Here is a 25792-nt window from a genome sequence, read left to right as displayed (position 1 = left end):
TGTCCCCCCACCTGCCAAGGGAGCTGAGAGCAGTTGTCCCCTGCTCTGCACCCAAGCCACTTCACCTTCTGCCCCCATATCCATACTGGGCCTGCTGGAGTGCTGCTGTGTGACCTCAGGCCAACCACTTAACTTCTCTGGCTGCCCCTCTGCCCACGGAGGCCAGCAGCCCTGCCCCCTCCCACCCATTCTCCCTGCCTTGGAGGTCTGAGGGAGAGAGGGGAGGAGCTCACAGAGCCAGCTTCCGGGCTTCAGGCTTCTGGCAGAGTCACCGAGGAGCAGCATTAGCACCACGGGTTTCCGGCAGGGTCAGTTCAGGAAGCAATTTAGGCTACAAGAATTAGATCAGAGAAGCTGAAAGCAGGAGCCCAGAAATCAGCTCTTGCAATTCCAGTGTTTCTGAGCCTAGAGGGTCCAGAGAGGGAGAGGAAGCTCGCCCAGGGCACACAGCCAGGCTGGTGGAGAAAGAGGGTCTGGCTGCTCTCCAGGCTAGGAAGGGGCCAACGCTGCTGGGAGGGTCCACTCCTGGGGAGGATGGAAGGGAGGTGGAGGCCATAAAGGGAGAGCTCGGCTGGGCCAGGGGCTGCACAGGGCCAGGCCTGGCTGGCTGAGGGCCTGATACCGTTGCCCCATCCCTCCAGCCTCACCTGCCTGCCAGGCTAACCTTGGCCTACTTATGTGAGGTTCTTCTGGCCCCGGCCCTTGCACAGACTGCCCCTCTGCACCCTCCATCTGCCCCAAGGTCACCTCCCACTGTATCTATGGGGCCAACACCCCGACAGGGTCAGGTCTCCTCTGCTAGCCCCAGGCAGAGCACTGAAGGCCACGGATAGACCAGGAGGCAGGCAAGCTGCTCCACCCAGGCCTTTTCTTTCTGAGCCTGAGCTTAGGCCCGTAGCACTTCCTGTCTCCCTGGTGTTTTTAGCTGTTTGGGCCGAGCAGGACCCCTGGGTGGGGTTCAGGACCACCTGAGCTTCCCAGCTGCCCTGTGTGCCTGCCCTCTTCCCTCCTCCTGCCAGTCTCATCCCCACCATTCTCCACCCTGGGCTGAAGCTCTGGGGCTCGGAGCTCCTCGCAGCTCCCACAAGACTGTTCCCTCAGGGCCTCTGCACACACTGTTCCTCTGCCATCCTGGTGCCCCTGGGACAGCACCTGTTAACACTGTATCCCATCTGCACATGACTTGTCTGCCTCCCCAGCCTACCCTGTGCCCCTCCAGGGGAGGGGCTGTGTCCAGCTCCTCTCTCTATCCCAGGGTCCAATGTGGGGCTCCAGGGATTGAGGAGTTATGTTGCATGAACCAACAAAGGTGAGTGCAGGAGGAATTCCTTCAAGAAGAGAAAAAGGCTCAGAGAGTGGCGGAGGCTCCCAAGGGGAATCAGCTTTCCACATCACAGACGCCAGCACTCAGGTCTGCTGCAGCAGGGCCCACCCCTTCACCCTGGGGAAGGCCTGGCTCTCCTCTCCTCCCCTCCCTGACAGCTGGGTGCCAGCCGGTGCCCACATCCCCACTATCCAGACTGTAGCCCTAGCACATTCTGCTGCGGCCCAGCCCTCCTCCAGCTCCTGAGCCTCGACCCAGGCCCCCGCTGTCCTGAGCAGGCCGCATTACCTCACTGGTCTGCATGGTCCTTGTCTGGAAGAGACAATGTGCCAGGGCCTCTGGGCCACTGTGAGGAACAAACAAGACCCCACCATGCAGAGCAGCACTCTGTATCCTTTCATGCTCTGTGCCCTGAGGACTGACAGTCTCAGGCAGTCGACATCTGGGCTTCACCCACGATGTGTCCAGACCCCCGCCAGGTATGGGGGGGCTACCACAACTTGGGGTTCCTGTCGGAGTTGGTCTAGTGTAGCCAACAGACATAAGGCCAAATGAAGTATGTGTCATTCAGAGGTTCCAGCAAGAGGAAAGCAGGGAAGCCTCCACACAGGCCTGGCCACAGAGGCAGGAGAGAAAGGCCATTCCAGGCAAAGGGAACAGTTCACGCAAAGGCTCAGAGGTATGAAAGACATCTTTATTACCACCTCAGGGCACCCCCTAAAATGAGCACAGTGCTAACCTGGGCCCTGCTTTGAGAAGCCTAGGATACGGAGTCTGGAGGCTTGAGATCTGCATAAGAGGCTGCAGACTCTGGACAAGCTCATTGATGTTCCCATCTACAAAATGGCTTAGCTGGCCATCATCTCCAGGGAAGGCTCACTGGTATCAGCCCTCCTCCTCCTGTGGCCAGGGCAGCGGTGAGTCAGACCCAGCCTGCACAGTGAGGCCTCTGTGGACCAAGAGTGGAAGTTCTGAGTTGGGTCAGAATGAGGGGGCTGGGGTGCTCACCAGGGAGCTTCAGGAACCCAGTCTTCTGGCAGGTCAGTCAGATCTGAGTTTGCATCCCAACTGCATCATTTAGCTGCTGTGTGTCCTTGGGCAAGGTGGGAACCCCTCTGAGCTGCTGTCAATCAGCAAGCCTCCTCTGAGCCCTACTGGGTTCCAGCCTCTAAGGTGACAGATGACAGAAAGAAAGTGGCATCTGTTCCTAGGCCTGCCTTAGGGAAGCTCAGTCTATCCTCACCTGGGACATGGTTGGTACTCCTCTTCCAGGAGGCTGTGTGGCCTAGTCTGCTGTTCCCTGGACCTGCTGGAGGTAGCGGGGACAGCCTGGCTGTGTACAGGATGGAATAAGGCCTCATCTTCCAGCGGGCTGATACCTGTGAGCCTTCCCTGGACCACCTAAGCCATTTTGTAGATGGGAACACCAAGGAATTTGTCCTTGAGGCAGAAGCCAAGGCCAGGCTCCAGAGCTGTGTGGAGGGGCAAGTCACCTACCTCTCTGAGCCTCTGAGAGATGGGGTCATGGAGCCAGCATCAGCCCCAGGGGAATAATAAGAACGAAGGACACAGCTGAGCCCAAGCCCAGCAGCAAGAGGGCCTCAAAGCCACCACGGGCCTCAAAGCCACAAAGGACCCAGAATAAGCAGAGCCATTTGAAGAGAACAAGCTGGAGGACTTACACTACTAAGTAACAAGGCTGATCACAAAGCTCACTGGGCACTGTCTTATAGAACAGTGGAACAGAATAGAAAGTTCAGAAATAAGCCACAAGTATAAGGACACCTGATATATGACAAAAGAGATGCCACAATGCACTGGGGAAAGGATTTATCTTTTCAATAAATGGTGCTGGGTCAACTGGCTATCCATAAGGAAAAACAGTTGTCTTACCCCTACCTCAAACCGTATACAAAACTTATTCCAGATAGATTTCAAATCTAACTGAAAGGTAAAACAATAATGCTTTTAGAAAAGAACATGAGAAAAAAAGTAAACTCAAATGGTCTAAAAATGGAAGAAAAAGTGCCCAACTTCACTAACCATTAAGGAAATGCAAATTAAAACCACAATGAGATACTGCTATACCCCCACTAGAATGACTAAAGTGAAACACACACACAGACACACACACACACACACACACACACACACAATCTCAAGTAGAGCTCTTATGCATTAGTGGTAGGAGGACAAATTGGTATAATCACTTTGCGAAACCATTTGACTATATCTAGAAAACCTGAGGAAATAATATAATCATGTGTTCATATAATCTAGTAATTCTAAGAATATGTCCAATAGAAATGCATGGACATATTCACCAAAAACCATGTACAAGAATGTCTATTGCAATAGTATTTGTTAGAGCTGAAAATGAGAAACAAGCTAAATGTTCATCAATGAAAGAACAGATCAATAAGTTCTTGTATATTCATATAATAGAATAGTAAACAATAACGAAAATGAACAAATTGTTGTTGCACACAACCCTATGGATGGATCTTACAAGCATATTAAGCAAAAGAAGCAATATTACATGATTCTATTTAAATAAAATAGAAAAGCAGAGCCAGCATTACCCCATTACCAAAGCCAGATAAAGACACTACAAGAAAAGAAAATTATAGGCCAATATGCCTTATGAACACAGATGCAAAACCTTCAACAAAATACTAGCAAACAAGGTGGGTGTGATGGTGCATGCCTGTAGTCCCAGCTACTCAAGAGCCTCAGGAAGATAGCAAGACCCAATCTCTAGGGAAAAATAATAATAATAATAATAATAAGGCAAATAATTCAAAAGCACATTAAAAGGATCATTCACCATGATCAAGTAAGATTTATATGAAGGATGCAAGGATGGTTCAACATATGCAAATCAATAAATGTGATACACGATACTAACAGAATAAAGGGCAAAAAACATATGATCATCTCACTGATTTAAAAAAACACATTTGACAAGATTCAGCATCCTTTCATGATAAAAATTCTGAACAAAATAGGTATAGAAGGAATACACAGAAATCAGTAGCATTTTTATATACTAACAACACACTACTCAAAAGAGTCAAGAAAACAATCCCATTTACAATAGTTACCATGGAAAAAAGAAATGCTTAGGAATAAATATTACCAAGAAGGTAAAAGACTTGTACACTGAAAACTATGAAACACTGATGAAAGAAATTGAAGACACAAATAAATGGAAAGATACAGATATGTACATATACATATCTGTATATGTAGATAAGAATTAGTATTGTTAAAATGTCCATTCTACCCAAAACAATCTACAGATTCAATCCAATCCCCTATCAAAATTCCAATGACATTTTTCACAGAAATAAAAAACAGTCCTTAAAATTCATACAGAATCACAAAAGACCCTGAATAGCCAAAGCAATCTTAAACAAAAAGAACAAAGCTGGAGGGATCACACTACCTGACTTCAAAATATACTACAAAGCTATAGTAACCAAAACCACATGGTACTGGCACAAAAACAGACACAAAGACCAATGGAACAGAATAGAAAGCCCAGAAATGAATCCACACATTTAATTTGTCAATTAATTTTCAACAAAAGTACCAAGGACACACAAAGGGGAAAAGACAGTCTCTCCAATAATTGGTGTTGGGAAAACCAGATATCCACACGCAGAAGAATAAAAGTTTCCCTATCTCTCATCGTATGCAAACATTGACTCAAACGGACTAAAGACTTAAATATAAGACCTGAAATTATGAAACTACTAGAAGAAAACATGGGAAAAGCTGTTATGACATTGGTCTGGGCAATGATATTTTAGATATGACCCCAAAAGCACAGACAACAAAAGCAAAAATAGACAAAAGGGATTACATAAAGCTAAAAAAGTTTCTGCACAACAAAGAAAACAATCAACAGAACGAAGAGACAACCTGCAGAATGGGAAAAATGTTTGCAAACTAGCCATCTGACAAGAGTCAATATCCAGAATATATAAGAAATTCAAGCAACTCAATAGCAAAAAAACCCTAATGATCTGATTTTAAAATGGGCAAATGATCTGAATAGACATTTCTCTACAGAAGACATACAAATGGTCAATAGGCATATGAAAAAAATGCTCAACATTGGCTGGGCGCAGTGGCTTATGCATGTAATCCCAGCACTTTGGGAGGCCGAGGCAGGTGGATCACCTAAGGTCAGGAGTTCAAGACCAGCCTGCTCAACATGGCGAAACCCCATCTCTACTAAAAATACAAAAAATTAGCCAGGCGGGCACCCAGCTACTCAGGAGGCTGAGGCAGAAGAATCGCTTGAACCCAGGAGGTGGAGGTTGCAGTGAGCCGAGATCGCGCCACCGCACTCCAGCCTGGGAGACAAGAGCGAAACTCCATCTCAAAAAACAAAAAAAAAAAATTAAAAAGCTCAACATCACTAATCATTAGGGAAATGAAAATCAAAACCACAATGAGATACCACCTCCCACCTTTGGGCTTTTATAAAAAAGACAAAAGTGTGATATCTTATTAAAAAAAGACAAAAGATATGTCTTTTATAAAAAAAGACTTTTTTAAAATCTTTTTTTTTGATACAGAGTCTCGCTCTGTCGCCCAGGCTCAAGTGCAATGGCATGATCTCGGCTCACTGCAACCTCCCTTTCCCAGGTTCAAGCCATTCTCCTGCCTCAGCATCCCAAGTAGCTGGGACTACAGGCATGCGCCACCATGCCTGGCTAATTTTCATATTTTTAGTAGAGACGGGGTTTCGCCATGTTGGCCAGGCTGGTCTCAAACTCCTGACCTCAGGTGATCCGCCTGCCTTGGCCTCCCAAAGTGCTGGGATTACAGGCATGAGCCACTGTGCCTGACTTAAATCTTTTTACAAAAGATACGTCTTTTATAAAAAAGACAAAAGATAAGTGTGGGCGAGGATATGGAGAAAAGGAAACCCTTGTACGCTGTTGGTGGGAATGTAAATTAGTACAGCCATTATGGAAAACAGTATAGAGGTTTCTCAAAAAATTAAAAATAAAACTACCATATGATCCAGCAATCCCACTACTGGGTATAAATCCAAAGGAAATGAAGTCAGTATGTTGAAAACATATCTGCACTCCCATGTTCACTGCAGCACTATTCACAGTAGCCAAGATATGGAATTAACTTAAGAGTCCATCAATGGATGAATGGGTAAAGAAAATATGGTATATACATACAATGTAATACAATTCAGCCATGAAAAGAAGGAAATCTCATCACTTGTGACAACATGGATAAACGAGGAAGGCAATATACTAAGTGAAATAAGCCAGACACAGAAAGACAAATAACACATGATCTTACTCATATGTGGAATTTTTTAAAAGTTGAACTCATAGAAGCAGAAGGTAAAATGGTGGTTAACAGGAACTGAGGGGTGAGGGTGGGGAGGGAGGTTGCAGAGATGTCAGTCAAAGGACACAAAATTTCAGTTAGATAAGAGGAATAAGTTCAAGAGATCTATAAGTTCAAGAGATTGATTGTAACATGGTGACAATAGTTAATAACAATAGATTATACTCTTGAAGATTGCTAGAAGTAGACTTTTCTTTTTTTGGAGTCTCACTCTGTTGCCCAGGCTGGAGCGCAGTAGCGTGATCTCGGCTCACAGCAACCTCCGTCTAATGGATTCAAGCGATTCTCCTGCCTCAGCCTCCCTGGGATTACAGGTGACCGCCACTAGTCTCAGATAATTTTTGTATTTTTAGTAGAGATGGGGTTTCACCATGTTGGCCAGGCTGGTCTCAAGCTCCTGATCTCCAGTGATCTGCCTGCCTTGGCCTCCCAAAGTGCTGGGATTCCAGGCATGAGCTACTGCGCCCGGCCGAGAGTAGATTTTGAGTGTTCTCAGGACAAAAAAGTATGTGAGGTAATGCGTGTGATAATTAACTCGATTTAGCCATTCCACAATGTATACACATTTCAAAATATTACATTGTACATGATAAACATATACAATTTTTATCTATTTAAAAAATCCATTTTTTTAAGACAAGCAAAGCCTGCATAACTCATCTACAGTGAACAGAAAGCAGGACTTGGCTATCTTGGGGGTAGTGACTGGAAGGGGTGTGAGAGAGCTTGTGGGGTTCCGGTAAAACTACTTCTTGACCTGGGTGGTGGTTCCATGGGTGTGGTCCCTGTGCAAATCCACTGAGCTCTACACTTAAGACCTATGCACCTGTCTGTAGATCAGTTACATATGCTTCAATAAAAAGGTAAACAAAAAAAGCCAGCACAGTGGCCCTGGGAGGAAGGGCTGGCTGAATGTGGTAACCCAGGTCCCAGCAGATCCGGGCCCTTCACAGCTGTAGCCCTGTCCAGCTGGACACCACATACCTAGGTGGGCTGACCTAAAGGGAAGGGAGGCGGAGTGGGAAAGTGCCCCAGGCTGGGTCCGAGCACTAGCCTTTGTCACACGCAGGCTGTGTGACCTTCTGCAAGCCTCCAATTCTCTGGTCCCAGCCTCCTCCTCTAGCTCTCAGGACGCTTGCGGACTTGACACTCAAGAGTGTCTCAACACTTGGAGCAGTCCACAAGAAGGTCCTACAGGTGTGTGGCACCCTGACACCCCAACCAAGCACACACCTGCAAGGTTTCCTCTGCACCTGAGAAGGGGAGATGCCAGCCAGAGACCATCCCTAGGAGGATGTTTTCAGCCCTGAGGAGGGTGGCATGGTGCTCAGAAAAAAAGGGGAGGGGAGGGGTGTGGGGCAGGGATCATGGATGAGGCTGCAGAGGATCCCGCCAGAGGCCCCGGGATGCCATGTGCAGCGTGTGGCTTCATCCTAAGGTGATGGGGAGTGTGGAAGGGTGCTGAGCAGCGGAGGGACTTGGTCACGGCTGTCTTGCGGAGCCCCATGTGGCTGCCACATGGGAAACGGACTAGAAAAGGACAAGACTAAACCAGAAAGACCAGAAGAACGGCCACAGGACTTGGACTGGCAGTCTCACGTGTGGATGCGGAGGGGCTGGGTTCCAGGGCCGAGTGGGAGAGAGCCTCAGCTCTTCCTGGTGGCCAGCCACTGGTGGGGGTGAAGGGAGAATGCAGGAATGCCTGCTGAGGGTCCTTCTCCTGTGCTCCACTGCCCCGTACCCCACAGTGGTGCCCAGCGCAAAGCACAGGCCTGGCAGAGTGAGTATCACCCAGTGCCGGCCGAAGGAGCCAGTGACACCCTCACCCATTCCCTGCCAATCAAAGCCCCCTTTCCCCTACCTCCCTTCCTCAACCTCTTCTCCCCTCTTAAGGGAAGACACCCCCCACCACCACCTTTTGCCATATGAACAGGGGAGGGCTGAACAGCTGGGGCTTCATCATTTAGGGGACACAGTCAACTCCAACTTGCACATCTTTGCTGGTGCCCGATTTGGGCTGGCGCTGAGCTGGCTGATGAGGAGGGGGCTGGGGGTGAATGGTGGTGGCCTTCCGAGATGGAGCCCGAGCAGGGCCAGAAGGATAGGCCAGAAGCAGCAAGGGCACAGCAGGGTACAATGTGGCACAGGGAGAGGGAAAAGGTGGGAGGGCACTGGGTGGGCGGAGCCTGGGGGGAAGCTGGCAGAACCAGCTCTGCAGGGCTGGGGATGCCAGGCAGAGGGGCATCAGCATTTACTGGGGCACAGGGGAGCCAGGGGCAAGACTAAAGGTCAGATGCTGATGCAGTGACCCAGGACTGGAAGAGCCCTGGCTTGAGCCATTGCAGGGAAGGCCAGAAGCCAGAGGGGACTAGAAAGGGCAGAAACTCCATTTGGTGGCTGCCCGGTTATTTGTGTTTTTGATTTTGTTAATGTATTTATCCCCTTCTATCCCATACCCCATCCTCCATCTGCTCCCTAAGTCACCATCTAATAAGATGCTTAAAGCATGTCTCTTTGTCCTTTCGTGGGTGTACTGTGACCTCCCAGGCCCCTGTCTCTCTGACGCACTGTGTGCTGAGGAATGGATGGCAGGGTGGGGAGGGAGAATGTGCGGTGGAGGGAGAGCCAGGCTCAGAGCCACCTCAGGCTCCCAGCCCCTAGGCCACCCAGAGCTCTGGGCTCCTGGGTTCTGGCGCCAGAGCCAAGGCAACCAGGCCCAGTGAGTCACTCCAGCCACCACCAGGCGAGCTGGCACCAGGGCTGGGAAATCCTGTCTATTTCCTCCCCTCCCCTCTCCTTCCCTTATCGTTTCTGTGTCCAATCCATTCTCCACCAGGCTGCTGAGTGATCTTTCTAACATAAATCCCACCAGGCCGCTCTCCTGCTAGGAGACACAGAGGGCCTTGCGGGCAGGGCCATGTGTGTATGGGGAACAGGGTCTCTGGCTGGTCCTGGGGGAATGGTGGTCCTGCAGCCGTGATGTCCCCTGGTGCCTCACAGCACAGCATGTGAGGGCTGTGCTGGCCTGCAGGCCTGGCTCTGTGTGTCTCTGACTGAGTCAGAGGCCTGACCCTGCAGCTGTTCTTCATCTGGCAATTGGGTCCCGCCCAGGGTGCTGTGAGCAGGAGGGAGTGTAGGGACAGCAGGAGCCGCTGTTGTAAGCAGCATCTGTAAGCAAGCGGCCAAGGGAGAGGAGCTTCTGAAAGGGTGTTCCAGGTCAGGGGTTCCTGCAGGCCTTGGGCAGGACAGGAAGAAGTCAAGGACCTGGCCACACTTGTGGAGGTGGAGACTGTTGGGCAGGGGGCAGCCCCAGGCCAAGCCTCGGGTGAGCAGCTCACCACAGTTTTAACACTGAAAGAACCACATCCAGGAAACCCACAGTCCCAGGCAACCCAGTGCGGTGGCCACCCTACCTCGGGGCTCCCAGTCCAGCACCAGGTCCTGCAGAGAAAGTGCTGACAGCAGGTAGATACAGCTGGGCGTCCCTGTGCAGGACATTCTCTCTCACCCGGGGTGGGGTGGGGGCTGTGTGCTCGCTCACTCCCCACCGGAGAGACAACCTAACAAAATGGGACTTGATCAGGTCACTGAAGCCACCTCTGCCTCACTGTGCTGTGTGAGCCCAGGAAAGCTCCTGCCCTCTCTGGCCACAGGCTCTCGTGATTGAGTGGCAGGGAGGGGAACACTACACACTATTTTTCAATCTGGCGGGTTTATCACCAGGACAGCCCTTTTCTCCACTTCCTGTACAGGCAGTCCTAGACTCAAGTCCCTAGACTATCTCCAAGACTCAAGGTTTAAAGACTGGTGAGACAGTGCCCATCTCTCACTTTGGGAAACTGAAGTGCGCCATTCCTCAGCACAAGCTCCTGCACAACCTCAGAAATGAGTTGTGCTGTTCTCATTACACAAATGGGAGACAGAGGCTCTGAGGGGAAAGAGGACATTCAGGGCAGAGGCACGAACCTGTCCCATGTCAAAGTCCTGCTCAGCCTGGCCCACCACCCCTCCCTCGGGCAGTGACCCACTCTCCAGCCCTGGGTGTCCTGCTCAGGTGTGTCCCCCATTCCAACTTCACTTGCACACCTTCCCTGTGCCTGACCAAGGGGCAGTGAGGAGTCAGATGGGAATCTGCCCTAGAGGTCAGCCTGGTGAAGGCGAGAGGCAGAGGCCTCAGTACAAGGCAGCGAGATCTGCTCTCAAAGGAAGTGATTCGTTCACACCAGGCAGGGACGGCTGCATGGAGGAAGTAGCAACAAAACGGGATCTCAAAGGGTAGATTGTGATTTCAAGAGATGGAGGAGGTGGAAGGTTTGGGGGAGGAAAGATTATTCTGGAGGAAGAAATCATTCAGGCAAGTCTGGAGGACAGGGTGCAGGGGAGAGGGAAGAGGAAGTAGAGAAATATTGCCACAGCCAGGTTGTGGCTGGCCCTGAAAGCCAGGCTAAGAACTCAGGCATGAGATGGGGTGTGATGATGTATGAGAAGGTCAACGGGAAAGGAGGCCCAGGATGCAGGCAGGGAGGCCAGGCTATAGGCAGGCCCCTGAGAGAAGCGGGGCCCAGTATGGCGTGGCCTTGGCCATGAGGAGGGAAAGGAGACTCACACAGGGGCAGGTCCGCAGCAGGCAGGCCGGGGCTCTGGGATTTGGCTAGGGTTCTTCCTGAGGCGCCAGAGGGCTTACCCCCTCCTGCAATGGCAGACCATGTCTCTGGGCAAGCAGCACTTCCAGGCCCACTGCACTGCTCCAAGCCACTTCCTATTCCTGGCCATGGCAACCCAGAATGCCAGCGCCTGCTCCCCATACCCAGGCAGAGGGTGAACCAGAGCCCCAAGATGTCAGGCTGGGCAACATCCTGTCCACATACCCGTCCTCAGATGGGGAGACTGAGGCCAGCGAGGTGCAAAGCAGTTAACCTCTTTGTGCTTCAGAATTCTCATCTGTAAAATAAAGGTATTTTCTGCTCTACTGGCCCAGCCTGTTCACCTGACCCCACATACCAGACAGGACTTGGCCGTAATAGGCCTTGGTATTCTCACCTGTAAAGCGGGACTCCCCAGCCCCACCCCCTTGTAGGGTGATGGTGAGCATCAAATGACCCTGCAAAGCACTGGGCTTATTGCGTGAATGTCTGAAATGAGCTGCACTCCACCCTGAAAGGCCCAGCACGCTGTCAAAGGCAGGCAGGGTCCAGACATTGGGGACCACCCATGCGGCTGTGCCAGGGATGCCCTTCTTCCAAACATCCCTGAACTCTGGCTACCAGGGGCTCAGGCTGCACACTGGGGCCAGGGCTACAGCAGCGCCCAGCCTCCAAGGCTCCCAGGCTGGAGGGGAGACAGACATTGTGAGTGACCTCCTGGGGGAAACAGGACTGTGACTGGGGAAGCCAGCCTCGGTGGGCACTGGGGTGGGGGCGGGAGCTGGGAATGGTGCCTGCAGTGACGCTGCTGTCAGCTCCTGGGGTGGGCTGAATGACGGCCCCAAAGATACTCCCAACCGAATCCCTAGAACCTGTGAATGACACCTTGTATGGCACAAGGGACTCTGAAGATGCGATTAAGGATTTTGAGACAGGGAGACGATCTTGGCTTATCTGGGTGGGCCCTGAATGTAATCACAAGTGTCCCTATAAGAGGGAGGTGGAGAGGATCTGCCTGCAGAGGAGGAAAGAGCAATGAGACAGAAGCAGAGACTGGGGCAATGTTGCCATAAGGAATGCCAGCAGCCACCGGAGGCTGGAAGAGACAGGGAATGGACTCTCCCCTAGATCCCACAGAAGAAGCCAGCCTGGATTTTAGCTCCATTAGACTCATGGGGGACTTCTCATCTCCGGAACTGTAAGAGCATAAATCTGTGTTGTTTTCAGCCACCAAGTGTGGCAATTTGTCGCAACAGTGATAGGAAAGGAATATGCTCTTGAACGATGCTGTTCCTGAAGAATAGCTAATGGGAGCCGGGGTGTCATGGGGTCCCACCCGCCTCTCCTGCCCGGAGAAGCCCATGAGGGAAATGAAGTTCTTACACCTTGAGTTGCTCCGCTGTACAACAGTCACCCCACATCAGTTTCTTAGTTCCTGCTATGAGTAACAAATCACTTGGGTCCCACCTCACTCCAACTGGCAGAAGTTACACAGCAGCAGGGGGCACTGGCTGAGCAGGGGCTGGCTGGGCAGGGCAGGTGGGTCAAGCCAATGGGCTCCCAGCCTTCTGCCCACCATCCCCGGGGGCACATCCTGACAGTGAAGGGCAGCTGGGGACCAGTGGATGGGCTTTGATGTGCTCTGGTCACCAGCCCCTTCTCTTGCATGCCCACTGTGGGAGAAAACCACAGCACACACCCACAGGCCACCGCAGCCTCAGCTGTTGCCCACCCAGACCCCTATCCCTGGGAAAACTTGGGTCCCTGGAAGCACACGTGCAAACAACCAGAATGGGGAGCAGTAACCCAGGCCCTTGCGGGTAAGCACACATCATCCACAGCTTCCCCATCCAAGCCTGAGGCTGGCTTCCTAAGACATCCAGATTCCAACCGCAAAGGGACCTGGCCCCTTTGCCTTGGGTGAGCAGGGAAAGGCAAAGCCTGAGTTCATAGGCAAGTGAGCAGCTCTGCCTGCACTAAAGCAAGGCAATCCCAGGGTGTCTCCACCAGCCTGGAGGAGGGCTCAGAGGTGGGCAGCAGGAAGGCCAAGCCTCAGGACCACGGTGAGCCCAGGAAAGTTTTGAGCGGGGACCAGGGATGGAGAGGCAGAAGAGTTCTCTGAGGGCACTTGAGAGGTGCCTGGGAGGGGCTCTGAAGGCACTCAAAACACTTGAATAGATGGGGACAGAGACAGAACGGGTGAAAAGCCCAGCTGCAGAGAGACTGCTGCCAGCTGCCCAGGAGGCTGCTGGGGAGGGGTGGGGGGTGTTGCAGACCCTGCTCTTTGCAGCTGGGGGAGCCCAGGGCCCACTGCTGGGCTTTCTGTTCAACCTTTACATGCTGTACTCTAGGGTGCTCCCGGCTGCTCAGCCCTTGCCTCTCCTCAAGGGCTAGAAGCTTTTGGGGGAAGCCAGGGGACTTGGTCAGGCAGATACAGATCACTCCCGTAAGTCCCCTTCACCCACTAAAGCCAAGAGAGGCTTCCGTTTCAATAGGAGAGGACTGTTTCCTTCCACCCTTCTTCTCCCAAAGTCAGCCCCTCATCCCCAGGGAGGGAACTAAGTGATGCTGATTGCCAGCTGCTATTAGTAACAATGGCTACCAGACACCATGTACTTAGAAAGATGCGTTCAGTGACATGATCTAAGTTCATCTTCATCATCCCCCGAGTCCCTGTGAATAGGCAGCATTTATCCCCATTCCGCACATGAGAAAACTGAGACAGAAAAGGGAAGTTCTCCGCCTCAAGGTCATAGGCAAGTAGGAAGGTACAGAGATGGTCTCAGCCAAGAGAAAGAACAGACACATGATTTAGGCCCTGCAGGTAGGAGAGGGTGCCCACTGAGGGCGCAGGAGGCCTCCTGTTTGGGGACCAGGACTCCAGGGCTGATCTGACAGCCTGCCAGGAAAGCAGGCGCAGAAGCAGACAGAGACAGTGCTGGCCTGGGAGCAGTGTCCCAGATGTCACCCACAAAAACCCACAGGCATCTCACAACCACCCTGTCCAACAGTCAACTTACTCCCAACCTGCTCCACCCCCAATGGTGGTCCCCATCTCACAGAGGCAGCCCCACCTACCTTCCCCCAGCACTGGGACCCTGTGTAGCCCCTTAGCCCCTGGGCACCTCCTGCCCCCAGCACCCCTGCTCTGGGAAACTTTATCAGGGTCCCTCCTCCCCTGCCAAGCCTAGCCCTGGGTGGGGAGCAGAGGAGAGCAGAAGGGAGGGCCCTCTCCCTGCTTTGGCCTCCTCCTTATAGCCCTCAGTGGAAGCCCACCCACTACTGCAGCCAAAGGTGGCCCTTCTTGGACACACATCTGACCTATCTAATCCGCAATCCACCCCACCAGCATTCATTTTCACACTGCCAGGCCTTTACTCATGCTGTTCCTTGGGGCTGCAATGACCTGCCTTTTCTTTTCTGCTTGGTGGATTTCAAGACCCAGCCCCAACGAATCTGCAAGTGAACTCATCCCCAGCTCCCGGGCACCCATCAGTCCCTGTCTTGTGCTCCCAGCACTGGGTACAACTCTGGACAGGGCCTTATCTGTGGACCCACTGCCTGTCTTGTCAGAAGAGAGGCTCCTCAGGGCAAAGACCCCGCCTGAGCACCTCTGTGTGCTGGCAACTAGCCTGACCTGGCCTGCAGCAGCAGCTGGGCCCACCATACCCTGCCCAGGAGGCAAAGGCAGCCACACCACCCCACCCCCAGACCCTGGGGACAGGAGCAAGGACCAGCCCGAGGACCCTGGGAGGTGTCAATCCTTGCAAAACACAGTGGTTCCCCCAGCAGGCCTCAGACTCATTGAGTTGGCTGAGCCTCACCCGTAAGCCCCTCTCTTCCAAGAAGTCTGCCCAGATCTCTCTTTCCCCTGAGTCCTGGGATAGTCGCCCTCAGTACTTTTCTCTCTAAACCACAGGTGTAGGGAGAAGATTCTGGGATGAGAGCCAGGCGGACCCGGGTTCAAATTCTGGCTCAGCAATCCTGAGAGGGCAGCTGACTTCGCTTCTCTGTGCCCCACTCTTCTGATCTGTATGGAACTTGGGGGTGAATCCCACCACATGAAATGACTGGGAGAGAGAACGTCGCACCTGTTAATGATCTTTTGTCCTATTTCGCCTCTGGTCCCCTAGGCCAGTCTTCCGAGACCCCCAACGCAAAGGAACAGAGGTGGGAACTCTGAGGTCTGAGAAACAAAGATCCATTCCCTCCCAGACCACTCCCCCACACTCCCGCAACACACACACACACACACACACACACACACACACACACGTGCGCCCGCCCTGCAGTCAAGGAGAAAAGCCCCCTTTCAACCTGGGGAGTAGTGCCAAGAAGCGGATAGGCTGGGGCAGTAGGAGCCTCGGCCCTGCCCCTTCCCCAGGCCTGGGTGGTGGAGCACCCAGAAGGGGTTGGTGGATTGCAGGGATGAAAGGGGGGTTAAGCAGGGAAGAGAAGGGGGGAACTGTAAGGAAGATGAGAGGAAGTGACAGTCTAGCCCCGGGTGTTAGGCGCTTCCAGCGCGTCCGCACTAGGAAAACGACTCGGAGACACCCAGAGGGAGGTGAAAAAAAGACTCCTCGCCGGGGGTGGGGGTGGGGACGAGCCGAGGGGGCCCAGGCGGATGCTCCAGGACCCCGCCCCCCAGCCAGCGCTCACTTCCTTTCCCCCCGGGCCCGCGGGAGGTGCAGCCCCCTCCACTGATTCGTGGTCCCGGAGCAATCACTGGCCCGCGCTGCACCCGCACACACCCCCCCGAAACACACACACACACACACACAGAAGCACACGCCTCCCTCCGCCCGCCTCCTACCGGCCGAGCCGCCGCGGGTCCAGCCGGGCTCCCGGGATGCAGGGCACGGCGCGGGCGCTGGAGCGGAGGCTGCAGCCGCCCGGCGCAGCAGCCTCGGGCTCTGGCCGGAGATCCAGCTGGGACTGGCCTGCGGCGGGGGCTGGCGCTCGCATTCCCCGGGTTCGGCCAGCTGGGCCCGGCTCCGCCCCGCCCCGCCCGCGGCCTCCGCCCATTTGCCCGTTGCGAGCCGGAGGCGTGGTCTCCCGTGGGGCGGGGTGGGCGGCCCGGTGGCCGGGTGCGCCCATGCGCACTGGTGCGGTGGGCGGCCGCTCAGAGGAGCGGTCTCATTCCAGCCCCTGTGTTGAACGCGGACTTGGGGCCCCTAGCGGCACCCACCGCCTCTACCGGCTCGGTCGGGCCCTCGTTCTCTCTCCTTCCCAGCCTATCTGTCTGCGGTTGGTGCGCATCCCCATGGGCAGCCTCCCAAGGGCTGGCTGCACCGTGAGGGATCGGGCCGGGGCTGGGGTTCAGCCCCCACAGGGCGGGCCGGGGCCGCGGCTGACTTGGGGCCGGCGTGTAGTACCGAGGACCCGCAAGGGCCAGGGTGCCTGCCAGAACCAGGACTTGGTGGGCGGCGCCCCTCCCTTTCCGGGCTCCACCTTCACATCCATCCCAAGTGTTCGGATGGAGAAGTGGGAGCCCAGGCCCCTGTGAGCAGCAGAGGGCCTCTGTCAGATGGGAAAACTGACCCCGGCCCGTGTTGAGGACTTAATCCCGTGCTGCCATGGGCTCCCGGGCTCGGGCTCATGTTTGACTCTCTGTCCGTGACTGGCTACCGGAATGCCCTGGGATGGCACGGAGCCTGCATTTCCTGATCTGTAAAACGGGGACTATAATCTCTACCCACCCCAGGCCGCTTGGGGAATCCGATAGAGAAGGTTTAGGAGTGACTAGTTCTTGCCTACAGTAGGAGCTCAGGGGTGCCACCACCCCCCGCCCTGAGGCAGCAGGACAGACGCCCATCTGATCTGATGAGCCCATCGGCCCACTCGCTGGTGGAGCGTCTCAGGCCCGTTCATTCTCCGCCTCCAATTTGTTTCGAAGTCTCAGTTAATGATTTCGTCAACCTCTTGTGTTACCGAAACAAACTTGGGTCCGCCCACCCAGTGCAGCAAAGCCAAACACTGACACCAGGATTTGCAGCGGCAGAAAGGGAGGCATTTATTGCAGGGTGCCAAGCAAGGAGAATAGGTCGGCTAATGCTTAAGACCCGTACTCCCCAATGGTTTACATGTAAGGCTTTTTAAAGGTGGGGAGACAGAGGTTATAGGCAAAGTCATAAATAAATACTCTGGAGCTATACATTGGCTTGGCCCAAAAAGGTGAGACATTTTGAGGCAGGGTCATAGGTGGATTCAGAGATTCTGTGATTTGCAATTGGCTTAGGAAGCAAGACTGTCTAAAAACCTGGGGTCCACAGATAGGAGAGTTAAGCATTGGCTTATGGGTGTGACTCTTTACAGAACCCTTGGGAAGAAATTTAAAGAACAGCCCTCAGTTTCCCCTTATCTGAGGCCTAAGTGACAGCTGTGAAAAACAATTCAGGGACATAGGTCAAGATGTTATCTTTAGTTTCTATAGGGAACCAGACATCTTGTGGCTCTAACTTATTTGGGTGGCCCTTGTTTGAAGCTTCAATTACCTTCTTGCTTGTCAAGGTGCTCATTTACTTCTCAAAGCTAGCTAGCTGCCTGAAATTCCCCCTGAAAAGACTCATGATTTTCCTTTATTTCCACTAAGAGGAGTCTCTGCCTCACCTCACTCTCAGTCACCTGGACTTCTCTAGCTTCTCCCCAACCTCCCTGCCTCTGTCCCAGGCCACCCAGATGCTTCTCCCTTAAGAGTAGCCCCAGCCCCCTCAGGAGCCTCCTATCCAACCAAAGAAGACTTTCACATATGCAGCTGAGACCCGCCACCCATAGAAGAGTGTTCTAAGACTGCACCCCATCTGACTCCCCCATCTCCCCTAACCTTATTCCATGCCCTGTACTGGGAGCAGCAGCTTCACCAGCCCTTCAAAAGTCACTTCAGGGGCTCTACTCTCCCCACCTGAAACCATGCCCGTGCTGATCTGTGGCCGTCTGAAGGACTCTTCCTTCCTCCCTGTGCTGCAGCATCCCAAAGCTCCCTTGCTCAGCATCCACCCCTCACCTATGGCCCTTCTCAGGCTGCGTCTCTCAGAGTTGCTGGTGGGGCCAAGGTTTCCCCTGCAAGGCCAAAGTTCCTGGAGGGCAGAGGCCAAGGGTCATTGTCAGGAAGACAGCAGCACTTGGTAGAGCCAAGTAGATCTGGGCTCCAGTCCTCACTCTGCCAGTTACTGGCTGTGTGATCTGGGCAGGTCCTCTATCCTTTTCCCTGTCTGTAAAATGGGCTTCTAGCTGGAGTGTGTGATGACCAGGTACAGGCAAGTCACGGGGATCGATAAAGGCCCGGTTGTGTAGGATACTGGGCAGCATTGTCTCTGGGCTGGGCAACTCCCATGTGTTCCAAGGTGGGGCTGGGGTTGTGTCTGAGAAGGCATGTTTGCCTCAGCCCACAAAACAGTGGGGTTCAGAGGATGCTCAGACCCCCTTCTGTATCTCAAAGCATTGGAGCCACAAGAGGGTATTGTGCAGTAGTTGCAAGCATGGGCTCTGCCTGGGCTCATATTAGCTGAGTGACCTCAGACAAGTGACCCAACCTCACTGTGCCAGTATCCTCTCCTATAAAGCCAGCATAGCAACAGTCGCACCATGGAGTTGTTGTGGGATTAAATGGGCCGGGACATACGGAGCCCTCATGGTTGCCCTTTGCTTGGAGTAAGAGCTCAGCATGTGCTAGCTGGTGTTATTGTCATCTGGCCCAGCCCCTCATTTTGTGAAGACATTGAGTCCCAGAAGCAGAGACATGCACTCATGGCCAGTGAGAAGCCCAGCCACCCTAGCAGGTTAGCACTGGAAGGGCCCAGTCCTTTAATCATCTCCAGCAGCTCCACCTTCTCCGACAGGTGAGGAAAGAGGCCTAGCGAGAGTGACCTGCCCAGGACACCCACCCTGGTGGCCGGGTGGAGAGAGCATTGGCCCTGCTCTTGGGGGAGAGAGAGGTCCCCAAGATAGGCCAGGAAGAGCCAGATCTGCCCAACAAGGTTGGGGAAAAGGTGGGACTTTGATGATGCTCTGGCCCGGGATCCTGCTGGTCAGTTTTTGTAAACTGAGTCATCTAATGGTACCATCGCAGGGCCTGATGTGGAGGTGCACTTCCCATTTCTCACAACCGCCCTCTGCAGCAGCTCTGATTAGTCCATTTTCCAGATGACAGAACCAAGCCTCAGGGAGATGCCCCAGGTCACACAATTAGTAACTGGAATCCAAACCTACCCTGTCTGACTCCACTCTTGTGGCCTTTCCCTCCCCTCTTCCTATCTCCTCCAGGAAAAGGTCACCTCTGCAGGCTCCTTGACTGGCTGTCCCACCTCTGCTTGCATGCCACTGTAACTGGGAACTCATTTCCTCATAGCACAACCCTTTCTCCTCTACCTGGGAGAGCTTTTGTCACCCAGAGCTGATCCACCCCTCTCTTCCTGGTTCTGCCAGACTCTATACCCTCTATCTTACCAGAGCCTAGAGACAGAATCTTCTCTGCCCAGGTTAGAAAACCCCTATCTTCACTGCTCCTGTGTGTAATAGGATTTCCCAGGTGAAACTTATGATAATCATGTTTTTTTTAACCCCAACAGACCTAATTGTCTAGCTATTGTGTGGGAACCCTAAAGGAAGCCATGGCATGGGGAGTGGCTCAAAGTGGAGGCTCCTAAGGCTTGGTGTCTCTAGGAGGAATATTAAAAATCACCCTGTTAACCAGTTCATTCCATTCTCATCTGGCCAGCTCAGGTGAGTGGGGGGCAGGTCAAGATTGCAGGGTGAGAAGGCCCATCAGACACAGAACTTTCAATGGGGAATAGTTGCTAATGGTGCTCCCCTGTGTGGTCAAAAATGGGAGCTCACAAGGGACTCCAGGGCAGAACAGGTATGATGGAAATTGGGATATTGAGACAAGATGACCTCTGAGTTGTTTTCAAGTGCATCCTTCTCTGAAACACTGCTTATATTTTGTTACTATCCTGGATATTATTAAAAACCAGTCAGACCAAGGGGATTTATTCCAAGAATGCAAGGTTGATTTTTTTTTTTGAGACAGAGTTTTGCTCTTGTCACCAAGGCTGGAGTGCAGTGGCGTGATCTCAGCTCACTGCATGCAACCTTCACCTCCCGGGTTCAAGCGATTCTCCTGCCTCAACCTCCAGAGTAGCTTTAATATTAGAAAAATCCATCCATTAATAACATTGCTTTAGTTTCCTAGGGCTGCCATAATGACAAGCTGGGCGGCTTAAACCACAGAAATGTATTGTCTCAGTCCTGGAGGCTAGAAGTTCAAGATAAAGGTATCCCTAATTCTGATAAAGGTATCATCAGGGTCAATTCCTTCTATGGGATCCAATTCAATGTACAACAAGCATGTACCATATGAATGAACCTAAGGATAGAATAATATGCTCATTTATTTCCCTATAAATGCTAAGAAATGGGTATTTGATCAATACCCATTCATGATCAGAACACTCAGTGAAATAGGAATTGAGGGATACTTTCTCAATATGATAAGATATAGTCCTATAAACCAGCATCTTATTTAATCAAGAGACACTGGAAGCATTTCCACTAAGATCAAGAACATCACAAGGGCCAGGCACAGTGGTTCATGCCTGCAATCCCAACACTTTGGGAGACTGCTATGAGAGGATTGCATGAGGCCAGGAGTTTGAGGCCAGCCTAGGTGACAAAACGAGACCCCATCTCTACAAAACAAAATACAAAAAAAAAAAAAAAAAAAAAGCCAGGTTTGGTGGCATTTGCCTGTAGCTCCAGCTACTCAAAAGGCTGAGGTGGGAGGATCCCTTGGGCACAGGAGGTTGAGGCTGCAGTGAGCCCTGATTATGCCATGACCTCCAGCCTGGGTGACAGAGTCAGACCTTGACTCTAAAAAAAAAAAAAAAAAAAGAGAAAGAAAGAAAGAAGAGAAACATGGCAAGGATGCCATTATCTCCACTACTATTCCACATTGTACTAGATGTATTAGCCAATGCAATTAGACAAGATAAATCAATTGGAGGTCTAAGAATGGTAAAGAAGAAGGAGAACTATTTCTATTTACATACGGCATAATATACCTGAAGAACCCCAGAGAATCAATGATAAAACTAATTCAAATAGTAAAGGAGTTCAGTGAAGTAGCAGGATACAAAATTAACATGTAAAATATAATGGCCTTTATGTATAAACCTATATGAGGATTTTTTTTTTTTTTTTTTTTAAACAGAGTTTCACTCTGTCGCCAGGCTGGAGTGCAGTAGCGCAATCTCAGCTCACTTCCGCCTCCTGGGTTCAAGTGATTCTTGTGTCTCAGCCTCCTTAGTAGATGGAATTACAGGTGTGCATCACCACACCTGGCTAATTTTCTTATTTTTAGTAGAGATGGGGTTTCACCATGTTGGCCAGGCTGGTCTCAAACCCCTGAACTCAGGTGATCTGCCCACCTTGGCCTCCCAAAGTGCTGGGATTATAGGCGTAAGCCATCACGCCTGGCCATGATGAAATTTTTAGAACATTTTTGAAAGACACGAAAGGAAAACAAACAGAAAAATATCCCTTTGTTTGCACAGGAAAAGTCAACATTGTAATGGTGTTAGTCCTCCCTAAGTTAATGTTAAACTCCATGTAATCCCAATAAAAGAAACAGCAAGGTATTTTATGAAGATAGACATGTTGATACAAAAGTTCACATAGAAAAATAAACTTGCAAGAACAGATAAGAAGACATTGGAAAAGAAAAACCATGAGAGAAAACTAGACTTGCCAGACATTAAAAAAAAAATTAAAAAAAAGCTTCTGTAATTAAAACTGGGATGGTTCTGGTACATGAATAGATAAATTGGAATAGACTAGAAAATCTAGGATTAGACCCAAAACATCTTTACCCCACTAATTTGAGATGTTGCCTTTGCTACACACTAAACATAGACTTTGCAATAGATAATGCCGGGACAACTGGGAGCCATTTGGAAAAAGATAAAATTAAATCCATATGTTACACTGTCATATTTTGTGTTGTGTTGCTGCAAAGGAATACCTGAGACTGGGTGATTTATAAAGAAAAAAGGTTTATTTGGCCCATAATTCTGATGGTTGGAAAGTTCAAGACTGGGCATCTGGTGAGGGCCTCAGGCTGCTTCCACTCATGGTGGAAGGTGAAGGAGAGCTGATGTGAGCAGATATCACATGGCAAGAGGAGAAGCAAGAGAGAGGGGAGAGGGTGCCAGAATCTTTCAACAAGCAGCTCTCCCAGGAACTAAGAGAGTGAGAAGTCACTCACCCCCAGGGAAGGCATTAATCTATTCATGAGGGACCACCTCCATGAGCCAAACACCTCCCATCAGGCCCCACTCCAACCCTAGAAATCACATTTGAACATGAGCCTCGGAGGGGACAAACATCTAAACCATAGCACACATCCAACAAAAGAATAAACTGAATGGATTAGGGATCTAAGTGTAAAAAACAAAGCCACCTGTCTTAGTCAGCTCGGGCTGCTATAACAAAATACCACAAACCACCAAATCCAATGGTAAAGTGAGGGGAAAGGCACCAACAGGTAACTAACCAAAAAAGATATTAAAATGGCCCTCAAACTTATGAAAAAAATATTCAAGGACACTGGTAATTAGAGCGAGGCAAATCGCTCTACAGTGAGATGCCATTTTTCACTTTTCAGACTGACAATAAAAAAGATCACAACACATTCTGTTCACCAAGTTGTAGGGAAACAGTCACTCACAGCTGTTGCTGGTGGGAATACAATTTGGTACAATTTGGTACAATTCTAGGGGAATTGGTAATACCTAAGAAAATTACATACGCATGTACCCTTTAACCCGAGGCAACTCCACTTCTCGGAATCTACTCAGAACCCATACCTCTGGCAGTATGGAAATACACATGCAAAGCCTTTTTCAGTGACGCGTTCTTTTTAATTGCAAATATTGGAAACAATCTACATACCCACAAGTGGGAGAGTGGTTGAATAAATTGTAGTATATCCAAGCAATGGAGCATTAAGCAGCTGTAAAAGAAAATGAGGAGGAGCACATTGAATTGATAGTGTGAATCCCAGAACACACATGGAGAGAGAAGACAATATAAGAACATACACAGGTGTCTGCTCATCTATGCAGAGAAGTACAAGAAGGAAAGATCAGAAACTGGTGCGATTGGCTACCTACAGGGACAGGTGGAAAGGAGTGGAAAGAACTGTTGAATGGGATAGGATGGCAGGGAAGAGCAGGGAGTGACACTTCTCTGACTATATCTTTTTAATTTTTCTTATTGAGATATCATTTACATGCCATAAAATTCATCCTTTAAAGTATAAAATGCAGTAGTTTTTAGTATATTTACAAAACTGTGCAACCATCACCACTATCTAATTTCAGATTGGGAGTCCTTTCCAGTAACATCTCCACAAGGCACTGCTTGTGGAGATTTGGAAACACTACTGGTCCATTGGATAGAGGAAGCACGCTCCCCATTGGATTCTTCTTTATAATTGGATGGAGGGCTCTAATACAGAGAAACTGGATGCTCTGCTAATCTAGAGGTCGGGATTTTCACCACCCCAATAGAAACCTCATACCCAAGCATTCTCCATTTCCCCCTCCCCTTATCCCCTTATCCCCTGGCAACCTCAAATCCTATCTCAATGGATTTGGCTATTGCAGGTATTTCATATACTGAAATCATACAATATGTGGCCTTTTGAGTCTGGCTTCTTTCTTTCTTTTCTTTTCTTTTTTTTTGCGGGGGGACAGGGTCTCACTCTGTTGCTCAGGTTGGAGTGCAGTCACGTGATGACAGCTCACTGCAGCCTCAAACTCCTGGGCTCAAGCAATCCTCCTGCCTCAGCCTCCTGAATAGGTGGGACTACAGGTGTGTGCCAATGTGCCCAGCTAACTTTTTAATTTTTGTAGAGACAGAGTCATACTCTGTTGCCTAGGCTCATCTCCAGCTCCTGGTCTCAAGTGATCCTCCTGCCTTGGCCTTCCAAAGTCTAGCTTCTTTCACTTAGCATAATGTTTGCAAGGTCCATCTATGTTGTAGCATGGATCTGTACTTCATTCTTTTTTAGGGCTGGATAATATTCCATTGTATGAATATACCACATTTTGTTTATTCATTCATCTGTTGACAGACATTTGGGATTTTTCCACTCTTTGGCTACTGTGAATAATGCTTTGAATATTCATGTGCAAGGTTTTTTTTGAGACAAGCTTTCACTCTGTGGCCCAGGCTGGAGTGCAGTGGTGTGATCACGGCTCATTGCAGCCTCGACTTCTCAGGCTCAACTGATTCTCACACCTCAGCCTCCCTAATAGCTGGGACTACAGGCATGCATCCCCATGCCCGGCTAATTTTTATTTTTATTTTTTTGTGGAGATGGAGTCTCACTGTGTAACCCAGGCTGCATGTGCAAGATTTGGAGTGGACATCTGTCTTCAGCTCTCTCGGGTATATGTCTGGGAGTGGACTTCCTGGGTCATAGGGTAACTCCATGTTTAACTTTTTGAGGAACTGCCAGACTGTTTTCCCAAGTGCTAGGAGTGTCCACCTAAATCCTCCTGCCAGGCCCTGCAAGCTCCTGATGTAGCCCCGCGACCCTGGGAGTGAGAAAATCCCGCCCAAGACCCCAGCCAGTGGAGAGAACTGGAGCCAAGCCGGCACCTGGGGCTGCTGCCTGCATATTGCCAAAGAGGGGCCTGTGGGTCCCCAGGGTCCCTGGATTCTCCAGCGTCCTACAGGCCAGCAGCAGCTGGCAGGGTTCAAGAGTAAGGGTGGGCAGGAGGGGTGCCTGCGTCCTCCCTGTGCAATCTGGGGCCCAGAGGCAGCGGCACCTGCCCCCACCCTGCCCCTAGGCTGATATGTGTACATCTGCCCCCACTCCCCAGCTGATGGAGCTCTGACTGATTCTGCTCTGGGTTCCCAGTTCTAAAACTGCCTTCGCAAAAATTATAACAGTGAGAAAATTATGCCAGTAAAAGAGATCTGACCTAACTGACTCCACCTTGCTTCTAACCTCCCAGCTACCCTTGTTCATTTTGGGGTGTAAGAACTAATTTTGGGAGATAGTTATAGTTTAACTTTGAAACAAAGGTAACAATAGCCCTTTCCCAAAAGAAACTTCCTTTTGCCTGGGGACCAGACTGCCTTTGTAGGACTAATAAATTAGCCACAAGATTAGAAATTATGGTTTAGAAGTCAGCTGGGAGCGGTGGCTCCTGCCAGTAATGCCAGCACTTTGGATGGCTGAAGTAGGTGGACTGCTTGAGGGCATGAGTTTGAAACCACCCTGGCCAACATGGTGTAACCCTGTCTCTGCTAAAAATACAAAAAGCACCCAAGCGTGTTGCCACACGCCTGTAGTCCCAGCTACTCAGGAGGCTGAGGCAGGAGAATCACTTGAACCCAGGAGGTGGAGGTTGCAGTGAGCCAAGATCAT

General features: G+C 51.0%; 1 protein-coding gene and 1 long non-coding RNA gene across 8 annotated transcripts in view, besides 3 other annotated features; one reads left to right on the top strand and one right to left on the bottom strand.

Annotated features, from left to right (window-relative positions):
* The window catches only part of CAPN5 (calpain 5), a 59185-nt gene extending 42893 nt beyond the window's left edge, over nt 1–16292 (bottom strand). For 4 of the 7 annotated variants that reach the window (NR_189161.1, NM_001425321.1, NM_004055.5 and 1 more), the window contains exon 1: nt 16169–16292. Coding sequence is in view for 2 of the 7 variants with exons in the window: in XM_011545225.1 (XP_011543527.1) it covers nt 10126–10210 (85 nt within the window). In the remaining 5 variants the exon portion in view is untranslated. Of the gene's footprint in view, nt 1–10125; nt 10273–11580; nt 11655–16168 lie in introns of those variants that run through there. The other 3 variants (NM_001425322.1, XM_011545225.1, XM_017018223.3) reach the window with 3 other exon arrangements.
* Nucleotides 16087–16776: a silencer, noted in NCBI's record as "silent region_3796". NCBI's record gives its function as "represses an Ori minimal core promoter by ATAC-STARR-seq in GM12878 lymphoblastoid cells {active_cell/tissue: GM12878}" and the evidence as "EXISTENCE:reporter gene assay evidence [ECO:0000049][PMID:35858748]".
* Nucleotides 16087–17133: a biological region, named in NCBI's record as "H3K4me1 hESC enhancer GRCh37_chr11:76777177-76777677".
* Nucleotides 16633–17133: an enhancer, noted in NCBI's record as "H3K4me1 hESC enhancer chr11:76777177-76777677 (GRCh37/hg19 assembly coordinates)". NCBI's record gives its function as "activates a minimal SCP1, AML or CMV promoter by ChIP-STARR-seq in naive H9 embryonic stem cells {active_cell/tissue: H9 hESC(naive)}" and the evidence as "EXISTENCE:reporter gene assay evidence [ECO:0000049][PMID:30033119]".
* On the top strand, nt 19540–24862 carry LOC105369400 (uncharacterized). Its single transcript, XR_950341.1, has 3 exons — nt 19540–20076; nt 23733–23896; nt 24733–24862. It is a non-coding gene; the product is annotated as an uncharacterized LOC105369400 (long non-coding RNA).
* Nucleotides 24863–25792: the final 930 nt, after the last annotated feature.

This window comes from Homo sapiens, chromosome 11, assembly GCF_000001405.40.
Source record: "Homo sapiens chromosome 11, GRCh38.p14 Primary Assembly".
In the NCBI taxonomy this organism is placed as follows: domain Eukaryota; kingdom Metazoa; phylum Chordata; class Mammalia; order Primates; family Hominidae; genus Homo; species Homo sapiens.
This window is presented reverse-complemented; position numbering and strand designations above follow the sequence as displayed.